Source organism: Homo sapiens, chromosome 1, assembly GCF_000001405.40.
Source record: "Homo sapiens chromosome 1, GRCh38.p14 Primary Assembly".
NCBI lineage: Eukaryota > Metazoa > Chordata > Mammalia > Primates > Hominidae > Homo > Homo sapiens.
The window spans coordinates 41730674-41744188 of record NC_000001.11 but is presented as its reverse complement, the minus strand read 5'-3'; the positions used below and the strand labels follow the sequence as shown (position 1 = coordinate 41744188).

General features: G+C 52.3%; 1 protein-coding gene across 2 annotated transcripts in view, besides 3 other annotated features; it reads left to right on the top strand.

The window, feature by feature from the left end:
• Nucleotides 1–13515, top strand: part of HIVEP3 (HIVEP zinc finger 3) — a 529570-nt gene that overhangs the window by 291746 nt on the left and 224309 nt on the right. The window lies entirely within an intron of this gene.
• Nucleotides 4780–4999: an enhancer, noted in NCBI's record as "active region_880". NCBI's record gives its function as "activates an Ori minimal core promoter by ATAC-STARR-seq in GM12878 lymphoblastoid cells {active_cell/tissue: GM12878}" and the evidence as "EXISTENCE:reporter gene assay evidence [ECO:0000049][PMID:35858748]".
• Nucleotides 5030–5179: an enhancer, noted in NCBI's record as "active region_879". NCBI's record gives its function as "activates an Ori minimal core promoter by ATAC-STARR-seq in GM12878 lymphoblastoid cells {active_cell/tissue: GM12878}" and the evidence as "EXISTENCE:reporter gene assay evidence [ECO:0000049][PMID:35858748]".
• Nucleotides 10430–10931: an enhancer, noted in NCBI's record as "H3K4me1 hESC enhancer chr1:42198929-42199430 (GRCh37/hg19 assembly coordinates)". NCBI's record gives its function as "activates a minimal SCP1, AML or CMV promoter by ChIP-STARR-seq in naive H9 embryonic stem cells {active_cell/tissue: H9 hESC(naive)}" and the evidence as "EXISTENCE:reporter gene assay evidence [ECO:0000049][PMID:30033119]".

The window sequence follows — 13515 nt, the reverse complement described above, 5'->3', positions numbered from 1 at the left end:
CAGGCGCCTGTAGTCCCAGCTACTTGGGAGGTTGAGGCAGGAGAATCGCTTGAACCTGGAGGCGGAGGTTGCAGTGAGTCAAGATCGCATCACTGCACTCCAGCATCGGCGACAGAGTGAGACTCCGTCTCAAAAAAAAAACAAAAAAATGCTGGCTGGCTTCTGAACTCAAGTCAGAAGGGAAAGATTCTATGTGTTACCAAGGAGGGGAGGTGCCTAAGGATGGAAGAATTTTTGACACGGGTAGAAATCGAGATTTCTGGTGAATCCTCTTCTCAGAATATCCAGGGAGTCCCTCCCTCCCCCATTTCCCTTCCATTTCCCAATTACTCTGCTTGACCAGGTTTGCCCACATTTACGCAAAGGTGCCTGATGGCCGGCATTCAATGCAACCACTCACAAGTCTACTGAGCCTGCTAGGGACCAAGTCCCCTATACCCAGGACCAGAGAGGGAAGAGAGGCAGATCCTACCCCCACATTCTAGTCATGGAGAAGAGAGAAGCTTTTATGAGTCAGATAGTATTCACCAGTGAAGGACAAATGACGAGTCCCTGAGCGTCATCTCCAGGGGTCTCAGGCCTTGAAGGAAGGATAGGACGGGACATTCAGAAAGGGGCAGCTGTTCCCCCACCATCTCCTTATCCTGTGGTTTGGAGCTGCATAGCAAACACTAGTAGTGATTAAATTTGACATGTTTCACCAAACAGCTACTCACCAGTCATTGACTGAACATGTAACATTCATTCATTCATTCATTCACCTAGTGTCTGCCAGATGTCAGGCTCTGTCCTAAGTGCTGGGGATTTGGTAGCACTGAAAGAGACAGACAAGGTTCTTTCCTTTACTTACAAAGCTTACGTGGTGGCAAGCTCACAGTTGGTGGGTGTCTACCTTGTACCAGGCCCTGCTGAGGCCCTTTTCACAGGAGTTCTCACTAGGGGTGCAGTTAGTATTTTGAGGGGAAAGTTTTTTGTTGTGCAGGCTGTGTGGCATGTTGCAAGATTTAGCACCTCTGGTTCCTGCCTCATGCTGTCAGTGGCATACCCATACCCCATACCCCATACCCCATACCCCACCGCAGCCTTTGGAACATCCCCTAATATCCACTTACAGTTAAAAATGCCCCCTCATGATGTGGTATTGCCCACCATTAGAAAAACAACATGATCTCATTTAATCCTCACAACAGCCCCATGAAATTAGTTCTGTTACGATCCCCATTTTACAGATGTGAAACAGACACAGAGATGTTTAGCAACTCGTTCCACACCACACAGTTAGAGTGATGGATATGAAACCTAGGGGCCCAGCTTTAGAGACTGCACTCCTCACTCCCCTGTTACACAGATTCTCAAACCAACACAGACTGCAAATTCTAGACAGTGAGGGGAGTGATGGTGAAAATGGATCAAGATGATGCGACAGAGGGAGAGAAGCTAAAGTGGGAAGTGTGTCCTGTGTGTAAAGCCTTATGCTGACCCAGTGGGCAGATAGACACAGTACAATCAACTGCAAGCCCCACACAGGCCCTAAATCCCCATTAGAACTATGAGGCAGGCAGTATATACATGTGCACATTAGGGATATGTACCTTAGTGAAAACCTCTGCTCTTATGGGGAATACCCTGTTCATCAAGGAATAAGTATTCACGAGAAAGATAGTCACTGGGAGACTTGCATGTGGAACAGAGAAAGGCAATGTCGAGCAAGCCAGATGCTGGGAGGGAGGCAGTGCTCTTCCTCTCCACATCCGACCAATGGAAAAGTAATTATTAGCTGCCTGTGATGTGTGTCTGAGTCAACAGCAGCAGAGTATGCGGAAGCTGTTGAAGCTCTTTTTTGTTTGGAGCCCTTGCTGTGGCTGGCATATGCTGGGGATTCAATCATTGAGTGGATGAGTGGATGAATGAAAGGATGGGTGGATGGAATAATGGACAGATGGATGGATAGACGGTTGGACAGATAGATGGCAGAATGGAAGAAAAGATGAGCGTATGGATGGACAGGTGGATGGGTGGATGGATGGATGGACAGATGGTTGGGTGGATAAGATTTGGTACCAGCCCCACCTCGAACTTCTGGCTGTAGAGGCTGGATATATTCAGGGTCCAATTCACAATGGTGTAGAATTCAGGGCTAAACTACAAGTCAGAATCAATTCTAAAAAGCATTATCTTGCCACAAATCAAGTCAGGAATAGGAAAACATTTCATTTCATTGGACAATCAATGTAAACAAATGCCTTGGCCTTCAGCCCTCAGTCTATCTTAGACAGTTGAAGGGAAAAGCTCAGATTTGCTGAGTACCTACTATGTTTCTGGCATCCTACAGATAGGATGGCTTCTAGTTTTCAAAACAGCCCTGTGTTTGACAAATCGGGATGTTTAGGCTGCTCCAATAGGTGAAGCAGCAGACACAAGGTCACACAATCAGTGGTTGAGCCAGAAATGAAAATTCAGGCTGTTCGTTTCCACAGCCCCTTCTCATCCCGACGCCCCATGGGAAATCAGATGGATAGGGCAGCACTTCTTTAGGCAGCAGATCCAGGTGGCTGCAGCCTCAGCGTGACTCACCTGTATCATGGGCTACCTCTCTGTGTAACACAGGGCCTGGCTAGAGACCCCAGGCCAAGGATGGGGGTGAGGATTAGAGAGGAAGGAACCTGGGTTTGTTTCCACTGTGCACCCTGCGAGGGCAGCTTAGTCAGCGGCACGGCCCATTAGTCACTGAGATAGGGTGGGTGGGAGAGTGGGGATGGGTCAGGACTCCGCAGGAGAGCACCTCCCACTCCCACCATGGAAAGACAGCTTGGGACCCCGGCCCTGCTAGGAGAATGCAAAGGTGGGAAGCAGATGAGTTCCTCCACACCTGCCTCTTGGTTCCATTGCTCCTCCAGTGCTAACACATTCTAGCTAAGCGGAGGAGGAAGACAAAGGTGCTAGGGGACCCGGGAGAAGAAAAAGGAAGGGGAAGCTTCCCCTCCTTTTTTGAAAGCAAACAGATCTGTGTTTCTATCCTCTTGCAGTTCCTCCCTGCTCTAGCTGTGTGATCTGGGGCAAGTCATTTCCCTTCTCTGAGCCTGTTTTTGCCTCACTTGGATGTTACAGAAATTAGACAAGATACCACATGTGAAAATGTTTGGCCAGGGCTGGCACATGGTAGGAGTCCAGGAAATCGTTCTCTTCCTGCCCTACCGTCTCTGGGTAGGTCTGATGAGAGGACAGAAAAGCACCAGCCTCTGGCCAGACACAGGAAACTGAGCCCCCACCCCCTGCCAGCTGTCCCTGTTCCTCCCTGCCTCGTATAGGCCTGGCTGTCCTCCCCAGCCATGCTTCTGCCCACTGAGGGCAGGGGGTTGCTTGGGTCACACATCTGTGGATGAATGGTAGAGCCAGGGCTGGTACCCATGACTGCAGACTCCTTGTGCAGTGCTCCTGTTCCCATTTTGCTTGCCTGTCTGCCATGGTGGTGGGGCACAGAGTGGGGTCCCCCCACACGTTGGTTGTCAGGATGAGTGAAGGAGGAAGTGTGAGAGCTCCTAGCCAGGGCCTGTGTAGTGGTGGGTGTTTATTAAACGTTTGTAGAATAAATATGAAGGACACATGCCCCAGAGCCAGCCTCTCTGTATATGGCAGTTTTTACCTTCTTCCCCACTCTTTGCACCCAAAACTGCTGTCATGGGCTTGCCCTGACAGCACTGGAGAGAAAAGCAGGCAATGTCATTCCAGAACCTTTGGGCTTCCCAGTGTCTGTTCCCTCCTCGCCCAATCACACCAGGTTTGCATGGTGCAGCTGTGTATAGGCAATAGAAGAGCGGCAGAGAAGCCAGGGGTGTCCTGTCCCACCTACATTAACTCATCCACTCTCTGGCTGCCCAGCCTCCAGCAGGTCTTGCAATAAGCTGCTTTCAGGATGGCCTTGGAGACTGAGTGGTCATCAGAGAAAAGGGGTGCAGGGCCTTAGGGCCCAGAGCATTGGTGGTGGCCGGGGAGGCAGTGGCCACACCATTGCCAGCGCCCACATCTTCATCCCGTCCACTGGCCAGCAATGTGGATGGGTAGGTTGAGTATGGGGAGACCTGGAGGACTTAGGTTTGAGTCCTGGATCTGCCACTTCTTAGCTGTGTGACTTTGGGCAAGTTACTTCAACCCTCTCATCCCATTTTCTCATCTCTAAAATGGGGATAGACAACTTCCTGGTTATGCCGTGGTTGTGGGTAGGAAAGGGCTGTTTGTGGCTGGGTGCTAGGGTGGCAGTGAAAACACTTTGGAAATGCTGAGATGCTGTCATGTAGGAATGTCATGGCCACTGTGCTGTTACTAGTGCTCTCTTCTGAAGCACACTGGGGAGGTGGGCCAGACAGCCTGGACTTGAGCCTCTGCCTTAAACAAGTCACATGGTCTCTGAGAGCCTCAGTTTTTCTCATCTGTGAAGTGGGCATGATTACCCTGCCTGTCTTACAGGGTTATCTGGAAGCAGACAAGATGATACTGGGAGTCTGGGGTTGAGACATGCTTGGTAGATGTTAGGTGGGTGGGTACAGTGGGTGGAGTGGAAGGAGCGCCTGAGGAAGCCAAGACTTCCTTCCAAGAGAGGCAGAGGGGGTGGGGGCAACCCCAATTTTTTCTCTGCTGAGCTGGGTAACTCCTGGGGGCACATTACTCACCCTCCCTGAGTCTCGGTGTTCCCATCTGCAAAGAGAGTTGTGGGTGCCCAGTGCTCTGTGGGCGGTCACTTGGCCGCCACTGGGCTGTCACGCTGTTCCTCTGCTCCTGGAAGGAGTGACCCACTGAGACTGGGCCTCCCTCTCTGGCAAGTTAGGCCTACGGCTGCCACCGACCCTCTGACCTCACTCGGCTCCTGCCTAAATGCCCCCCAGCTCCAAGTACTTCTCTGAAACAGCCTGGCTTCCTGGAGTTCCCCGTTTGCCACCGGCTGCTCTGTGCACGTGACCTCCAGCTTGAGATGTTGAAATCCTACTCCAGGCTGCCCGGAAACCCCCAGCCGTCTGGGGCCATGCAGGGGCAGAGGCGGCGCGGGCTCCTTGGGCTTTGCCACACTTTGCGGCAGCAAGTCGGGGGCATCGATTCACGTTCTATTTTCAGACATTTCTGTTTCCTCCGCAAAAAGCAGTGGGTGGCCGAGGGAATTCAGCCTTCCGGTGACTGTGAGATGATTCCAAGCACAATATCTTCATATGGATGATGATTTCAGAAACTACGTGAAATGTTGTGGTCTAATGGCGCCATGGTTCATTACCAACGGAGAAAAGATTTTAGAATCTACCCTCTTGGGGATGTGAGTGCTGATGTGGGAGTTTTCTCTCCATAGGTTTCTTTACCCTGTTTGTAGGGAAAGAGGCAGACAGGGAGGCGGGCATTTATGGTGGGCCCAGGAATCCCTATAGCTGCCAAGACAGCTGCCCCATTTTACTGGTGAAGAAGCTAAGGCATGGAGAAAGGAATTGATCAAGCCAAAACAGCACAGTTACACAGCAGCAGAGCTTGGACTGGAATCCAGGGCTTCCTGACCACAAAGCCGCTGGTTTCCAAGCCTGAGTCCAGGTCCTGTGAGCTGATGGATCATGGGAACTTGAGCAAGTCACCTGATGCCTCAGACTCTACTATCTTTCTGCTTTGTGGGAGGGTTGGATTAACTCAAAACTTCTTAAGCTTTTCCACAGAGAAGAGTCAATGAATTTCTTTGAGTTTTAAACATTCTTATGCTATAGCATGTATCAGAACTTACTTTAGGAATTTTTAAATTGTTTTCTTCCCTACATCTCCAAGTAGAATTGATGGTCTGAGAAGATGCCCCGCTACCCCATGGCTCCGTGCTGAGGCCGCCACCTGGATTGAGAAACCCAGGGCTTTACTGATTTCTGAGGACTGGTTCAGCGACAGTGCCTGCGATTTCTGCGCAGTACAAGGGCTTGGCCAGAGTTTGTGAGACCCAGCTGCTTGTCTATATGTCTCTGGGGACGCTGCTTCCCGCTCGTCCTTCCTAGAGGCCAAGGCCTGGGGCAGGCCTTCTCCACATGGGGTGTCCCTCCCACTGGCCAGAGCAGGATGGAAGAGGACCCTGCCCTCCCAGAGGTGGCCAATGCTGAATTTGAGTTTCAGTGCTACCAGCTCTGGCCTTGGACAGATCACATGGCTGAGCTTCATGGTCCTCTATAGACATGGCATGGATCCATATCCTTCTTCAGAATTTCAGTGACACAGAACAGAACAGGTACAGCAAAGGCCCCAGCACAGGGCCTGGCAAGTAGGATGTGCCAGAACAGGTTAAGTGACACCTGCTGTATTTTAGGGCCTCAGAGCCTCACAAATCTGTAAGCCGTTTCCACATTAAAATCTCCCTTTCCAAATATATCTCCCTGCCCAGTTTTGTCATGAGCCTGAGGTCCTCATCATCACCAAGGCCTTGGGTTGATGACCCTTATTAAAACACAGTTCTTACATAAAGTGCCAGACTGAGTTCCCCGCCCCACCTTCTATTTAATTAACCACGTGACCTTGATAAGTCATTTCTCTTCTCTGAGCCTTTATTCCTTCATCTGTAAACCAAGGATGCTAAGGAGCAAATGAGTTACTGCAAATAAGACTCTTTTTCAGGTGTTTAGCAGCTGGTGGGACAACAGATGATTCAATGGGCCATGGTAGCCCAGGACACTAAACCCAATGACAGGGGTATGCTCAGCCTTTTGGGGAAGCAGATCCTTTGAACCTGTAGTCTTGGAGAGTCAGGGACCCTTCATGGCAGAGATAGAGGTCTCATCTCAGATATGACGGTTGACCACAGCCAGACACAAAAAAATGGGACTGCAGGGGTTGGAGGCACTGTGGGCAGTGGGAACGGCAAGAGTATCGGTCAAGTGCCTGCTTACACACACAGTATCTTAATCAGTCCCCCAGACAACCCTGCCAGTAGTACTATTCATCCCAGTTTGCAGATGAGGAAACCAGGCTGAGATACGTTAAGCAGCTTTTCTGAGCCCACGTAGCTTGTAAGTGGCTCAGCTGGTCTTCAAACCCTGGCCAATTAGATCCAAAAGTCTATGTTCATGAGTGGGCACTCCCACTGGTGAGCGGGGAACGAGGGGAGCCATGTTTCTCAGCAGATAAAGGAAAGGGCGGAGAAGACCTCGAACATTATTTGTGGCTGGTGCCTGGAGGTGGGGCAGGAGTAGTAGGCACCAGGGTCTAAGAAGGGGTAGGTGGTGGCTGGAGCCTGAAGAGTCAGCCCTGGAGTGACTATAGTGCCCTGGCCAACCGTGTCAGCTTCTCTGGGTAGAAAAAGAGCCAGAACTCCTCCTGGTCCTTCAACACTTCCTTCAGGCCACATCCCTCTGACAGGCCACCATCCTGCCCCGGTCATGATGGGGCCTCTGCTCTCCATCTGTTTCTTCCTTGGGACTCTGAGCCACCCAAGGACACACATGTGATCATCCTTGTGCCTTAATCCCCAGGCATCCAGTACAGAGTCTGGAAGGCAGTGAAAGTTTGCGGAGGGAAGCCAGAAATGCACGCCCTGGTTCCTTGGCCTGCATCTGCCCACAGTGAATGCTCATCCTGCATCTGGGGCATGGAAGGGTGGCATGTGGTGCAGCCCTCTCAGTTAACAGACAAGACAGCCAGGACCCAGGATGGCTACTTTTCTCAAGACCCCTGCTTAGGTTACCTGGGGAGGCTGTTTTCTGTGGCAGAAGGAGCTGGGGGAGCAGTGGCCCTACCTTCCTTCTCCCAAAGCCAGGAAGCCTTGTCAGGGCCCCAGGACCCACCCTTCTTGGCCCCTCAACCCCTTCCACGGGGAGCTGAGCATCTGTAGCTTGTCAAAGGAGCTTGGTCTGTTTTCTTATGGACAGAGAATGCACCTGCCAAGGCTCTGCAGGAGGGAGAGATCTGAACACCACGGGGGATGCAATTGGAAATTCGTTCAGGTTTCCCCCAGAACGAATGCCATGGAGGCATGAAGCCCGGGCACTCCTTGCTTCTAAAAGTGGGGAGGGATCAGAACATTGGAACTCTCGAGATTCCTTCCTAAGTGGGAGCGTGAAGGGCTGTTGTGATAACCATCGGCTCCCAGACACCCTGGGCGGGCACTGGCTGCAGATGCTGCCTCATTGAGCATGGAAAAGGTGGCTCTTCAGAGGTGGTGTCTCCCCTGCACACCCACAAATCATTTTTTTAATGGGTTGTCACTTTGATGGTGGGGCTAACTCTTGGGCCTGATTCAGTGTTCTTGCCTTTTTCTCTCCTCTTCCTTCTTCCCCCAGAGCCCCCACCCTCCTGCTTGCTTCCTTCTCTCTCCAGCCTCCACTTACTGGAAATGCAATCTCTCAGTGCATGAATGGCAGGGAGGGAGGGAGGCGCCAAGATCGAGAGGCGGCTTTGTCTGGCAGTGAATTTAGATAGCACGTGGGTGGCCAGGGAGCAGGCAGACATCCTCCATCCGCCTGTCATGGAGTTTGCCTGTGCTGACGGAGGAGGAGAGCAGGGTTTAATTCCCCAGCAATGCCTGAGTCCCAAATCTCCAGGCTGGAGACATATCTCCAGCCTGCCAGCCATAGGGGAGAAAGGCAGAGTGGTAGAAAGTTGCTAATTTGGGGGAAGGGAGTGAGCAGAGCCTGGATGGTTCTATTTTAGAGCAGTGAATGAGCTCTGGGTGACACTGACCTCTGTGACCTGAGCTCAGCCCTCATACTGCCACAAACTCCCACACTGTTGTGGCTCATTTTCCCCACAGACAAGGGGGACTCATGCCCTCCTCCTAGAATTGTCAAATGGATTCAATCAGATGTGAGAAGTGCATCCTCATCCCTGTCACCTTCATCGTCATCATCTTCTTCACCATCGTCACCATCAGAGCAAGTGTTAATATGCATGCTGTGTGCTAGACATGGTTCTACGTGCCCTTACGTAGGAAGAGATCTCCCAAACAGCAGGCACTCAATAGAAATTATTTGCAACTGACTCCAATTTCTGCTTTGTTGATAATTTGTTGGGCAAGATGATTCCACCTCTCTGAGCCTCAGGTTTCTTATCTGTGAAATGGAGATGATAATTATAGTGCCTTCTGCAAAGGGTTGTTGAAGACAAATGTGTTGAAGCACATAAATTACTTGAAAAAAGTCATGGTACTGGCAAATGATTTGCTGTTGCAGAGCATGTTGGTGGGGCACTATCTTGGCACTGAAGAAGGGATGTGTTTGGTGTCGCAAACATTGTACCCCACAGACAACACCCTGAATACCCTGTAAGCACTCTCTTAACACTGCAAAACCCAATTCCTCATTTCATCATTTTCACTGCTGCAGACAACAGCCCTAAACCTGCCTTTCCTCTTTAGATCATGTCTCACCCAATGGCATCAAGCAGCCACCCACGTTGGTGGATATTTTCCTCTATTCTGCCCCAGTCCTCAACTGCCGTCCTGCCCCGGGGCTGGCTGCTGTGGGTCCTGCTCCTGAGTCTCTGGCTGGACTTCCTACTGCCCAACCCACCTGCCCAGCCCTCCACTCCTTTACAGAGCTGCAGTCACCTCCTCTCTGGTCTCTTGGCTTCTGTCCCCTCCTTCCCAGACTGCCCTCCGCCATGGCAGCCCAAAGGGCCTTTCTAAATCACCCAGTGGCCCATCGCTCCTTGGCTGAACACCTTTCAGCAGCAAGAATGAATCAGTCAGTGAAATGCTTAGTGGCCATTGACTATGTTCAACACCAGCCTGGACCCTGGGCATGGGAGGGGGTGGCTGGAAACATTTGCCGAGTTAGTCCAGTCACTGAATGTATGTCTATCTCTCGCCTTCCCTGGGCCAAACGCTGGGCCATGTGCGTGCCAGCTGGTTCTTTAGTTAACCTGTGCAGAAGGTGTCTGCTCCGTTTTTCAGATGAAAAGAGAGGTTTACTGGCTGGCCAAGGCCACACAGCTAGAATAGGTGGCAGCAACTCAATTCAGATGCAGGGGGCTCTGAAGCCAAAGGCACCATCCACTCAGTGCAGCAGAGACAGCTGCAATGCACATGAGCCTCAGAGAGCCCACCCCAGGCCTGGTGGGTGCAGCCTCTGCTCACTGACTGGAGAGGCCAGGAGGGGTGAGGTGGGAACAGCAGCAGATTTGGGGGCATGGAGAATAGAGCAAGGAGGGGGTGAGGGCTGAGTTGCACCTTGCACAGCAGCCAGGCAGGAAGGGGAATGGACCAGGGAGTGGGGACTGTGAGCTTGTGCTGGGGGAGAGGGCGGGGAGTGTGAGTTCTGTGCAGGGGCTGGAGGTTGAGAGGAGTGGGACACCTGGAGGAGCTGAGGCCTTGAGAGCCGAGGAACAGCCTGGGAGAAGGACTGGGCTGGAGGCTGGCCTGGGATGCTGAGAGTGCTTCTGAGAAGGTGGCAGGGGGACAAAGAGAGTGAGGAGCCAGGGAGGCCTGTCCCAGAGCCTTCCCCACATCCCTTTCCTCTTTCCAGTCCCTTGGTTGCTGCTTCCCTGCCTGGCACTTTCTTTTGCAGAACCAATTCCCCTAAGTCACTCAGCCACAGTGGACCCTCAGAGCACAGGCTTGTCTCCCAGGGCAACGCCCCAAGAGCCAGGCCATGTTTGGTGAGCGACAGAATAGGAGATGGGAGCTCTGGCTTCCAGTTCTAACTCCACCACCAACTCTCAGGTGAGCTTTGAGGGTCTCGGCTCCTGGCCGGGCCTCAGTTTCCTCTTGGATATAGGGAGAGGCTGGATGGCCACTAAGGACCCTTCCCACAAGCCCTATGGCCTGTGATGTGACTGGGGGAGGGTTCAAGGTAAGGCCTTGGGTGAAATCTACATCCTCCATTGTCAAGCTGTCTGCTTTTCACAGTAATTACCACTTGGTACCTGGGAGTTGGACATTGGCTGTCAGCACTCGGGTTTCAGAATCCAAGGACATCCCATCCCTTGGCTCTGCCCCTGCTTGTGTTCTCATCTTCCCCACCCCCTCCACTCTGTCACTATGTCTCAGCACAGCCCCATATGGAGTGTTGCCCAGTGCAGCCGGGAAGATGCCAGCAGTCCCTGGGGGCAATGACAGAAAAGACCTGGATTATCAGGGACCAGCATGAAAATTCATGGCCAGAACATTTCCTCCATGTGATTTCCCAGTGTGCTCTGAACTGCTTTGTGTTTGCAGGATGGAGTTCTGCATCTGCTGGTTTATTTATTCCATGCACATGTATTGAGTACCTGCTGTGTACCAGGCCCAGGGCTGGGTCCTAGGGACATGGGTGAACCAGATCCTGGGGACTAGGCAGGCTGGGGATGCTCCTGCCTCCCATGGGGACTGAAACCTGGTGTCCTCTGCCCTCCTACCGACCCCCAGTCCCATCTGATCCCTGCAGGGCCCTCTGGAGAAGAGAGTCTCTGGAGACTGTAGCTTGAAGTGTTTGGGGTTCTGTTGGGGGAAGGCAGGCCTTGTCCTCGGGGATAGAGCGTCGCGGTCCAGGTGCTGTATGATGGGGAGTAGGCAGAGCTGTGTAAGGGAGTTGGTCAGCCCAGGCACAGAGCCCAGCAAGAGCATCCTGGGAGAGACATGAGGCTCCAGCTGGGGTAAGAGTGGCTTGGGTACAAAGCCATGTAGTCCTCAACTCAGGCAGGGCCTTTGTCACCCCCCACCCCAAGGCTACTTTCCCCTGCCTTTCTATGCTCCTATAGTACCAGCCCCAGTGGCCTTTCCTTGGCCACCTTCCCTAGCACCTGTGTGCCCTCCCCTCAGTCACCCTGCTGGGGAGCCTCATCTCCTTGGGCCTTGTTAAGACCGCCCTCTGCTAGTTTTCTGTTCCATGGTCTCCTCAGTTCAAATCCTGGCTCCATCATTTCCCAGCGTTTTGACCCTGGGCGAGTTGCTTAATCTCCGTTTCCATATCCACAAAATTGAGATGATAATAGTAGCTGTCTCAGGGAGGCTAGGGATACAGCAGTCAAGATGAGAGCCACTGGAGAACCCGCCTCTGCTGATGCTCCCCGTCCGGCCCAAGCTGCACCATGGCTCATGTGGTCCCCTCTCTCAGAACTCCTTCCTCATCTTCCCCACATAGTCTAGCCCATCCAAAGCTCTCACACTGCTCCCTCTGGTCTGCACCTGTCATTCCCCACCACATGCCACAGCCTTCCTAGAGGACCATGTCCTCATCTTTTGTTTCCTCTCCATCCCCCATAGGCCCCAGAGGGCCTGGTTCCATGCCAGACCCTTCCATAGAGAAACACTCGGTCAGGGGAATCATTCACTTGTTTAACCAGTATTTATTGCACATGGTTTTGTTATCTATTGCATGTGGTAAATTACCCCATACTTTGCTTCTTAAAGCATTAGACATTTCTGTAGGTTAAGAATTCAGAAGCAGCTTAGCTGAGCAGTTCTTGCTCAAGGTCTGTCATGAGGTTGCAGTCAAGGAGCTGGCCAGGGCTGCAGTCATCTGAAGGCCTGATTGGGGCTGGAAGACTCCCTTTCCAGATGGCTCCCTCACAGGCTTGGCATGTCAAAGCTGATTGTTGGCAGGGGACCTCCATTCTTCCCCACATGGGCATCTCCATAGGCTGTTTGACATGGCAGATGGCTTCCTCCAGCAACTGGGGTCCAAGAGAGAGCAAGGTAGAAGCCACAATCTCTTTATGACCTAGCCATGGAAGTCATGCCTGTCATTCCCACGACATCCTGTTAGTTACATAGGTCAGTTCCATTCAGTGTGAATACTCAGAGATGAGAACCATTTGGAGGCATCTTGAAGCCTGACTACCCCCAGCACCTGCTGTGCATGGGTTGTTTTTTCTGGACTGCTCACCCTGAGTGTTGAGCATAGAAATGCAAAGTTCACAGGTTCACGGGGGCTTACTGGGGCCCTGGGGTGGATTCAGGGGGTCTGCCACTGGGGTAGGCTGTGAAGACTGGCCAGGTTGATGGCTCCGGAGCTGCCTGAGGACAAGGAGAATCCTCAGTATTAGAACCCAGCACCTCTGTCTCTCAAATCAGCCCCTTTATCCAACTTACCCATGCCCCCAACACTCAGTGGCATTTGCATTCTTGACAGCTGTACGCAGTACACCTTTTTCCCGGCAGTCACACTTGTTCAAAGAATGGGCATGTGTCACTCTAGGAGGTAGTGAGTTCCTTGTCCCTAGAGGCACTTGCTGCAGAGCCACTGGTCAGAGACGCCACAGAGGAGAGATTTTAAGAGGTTTCACTCAGCCCTGGGTTTCTGACTTCCCACTTTCTTTGTGATCTGGCTGTGGGAGTTGCGTCCTTGCTCCTCTTCACAAACAAATTCACCCCCCACAGGAAGCCTCAGCTAGTCCCATTAGATCCCCTGAATAGGACCCTGGCCTATGGAAGCTGTCCTCTTGCCCCACCCCCCAGCCTCCCACCTGTGGGGTCTAAGTGCCCGGAATCCTGGCTTCCTGCCCATGCTGCCCACATCCCACTGGGAGCCTTCACCGGATAATCAGGACCATTAGAGGCCTCCTAATGCCACCTGACGTTGGGCCTGTGATGGCCCCCAC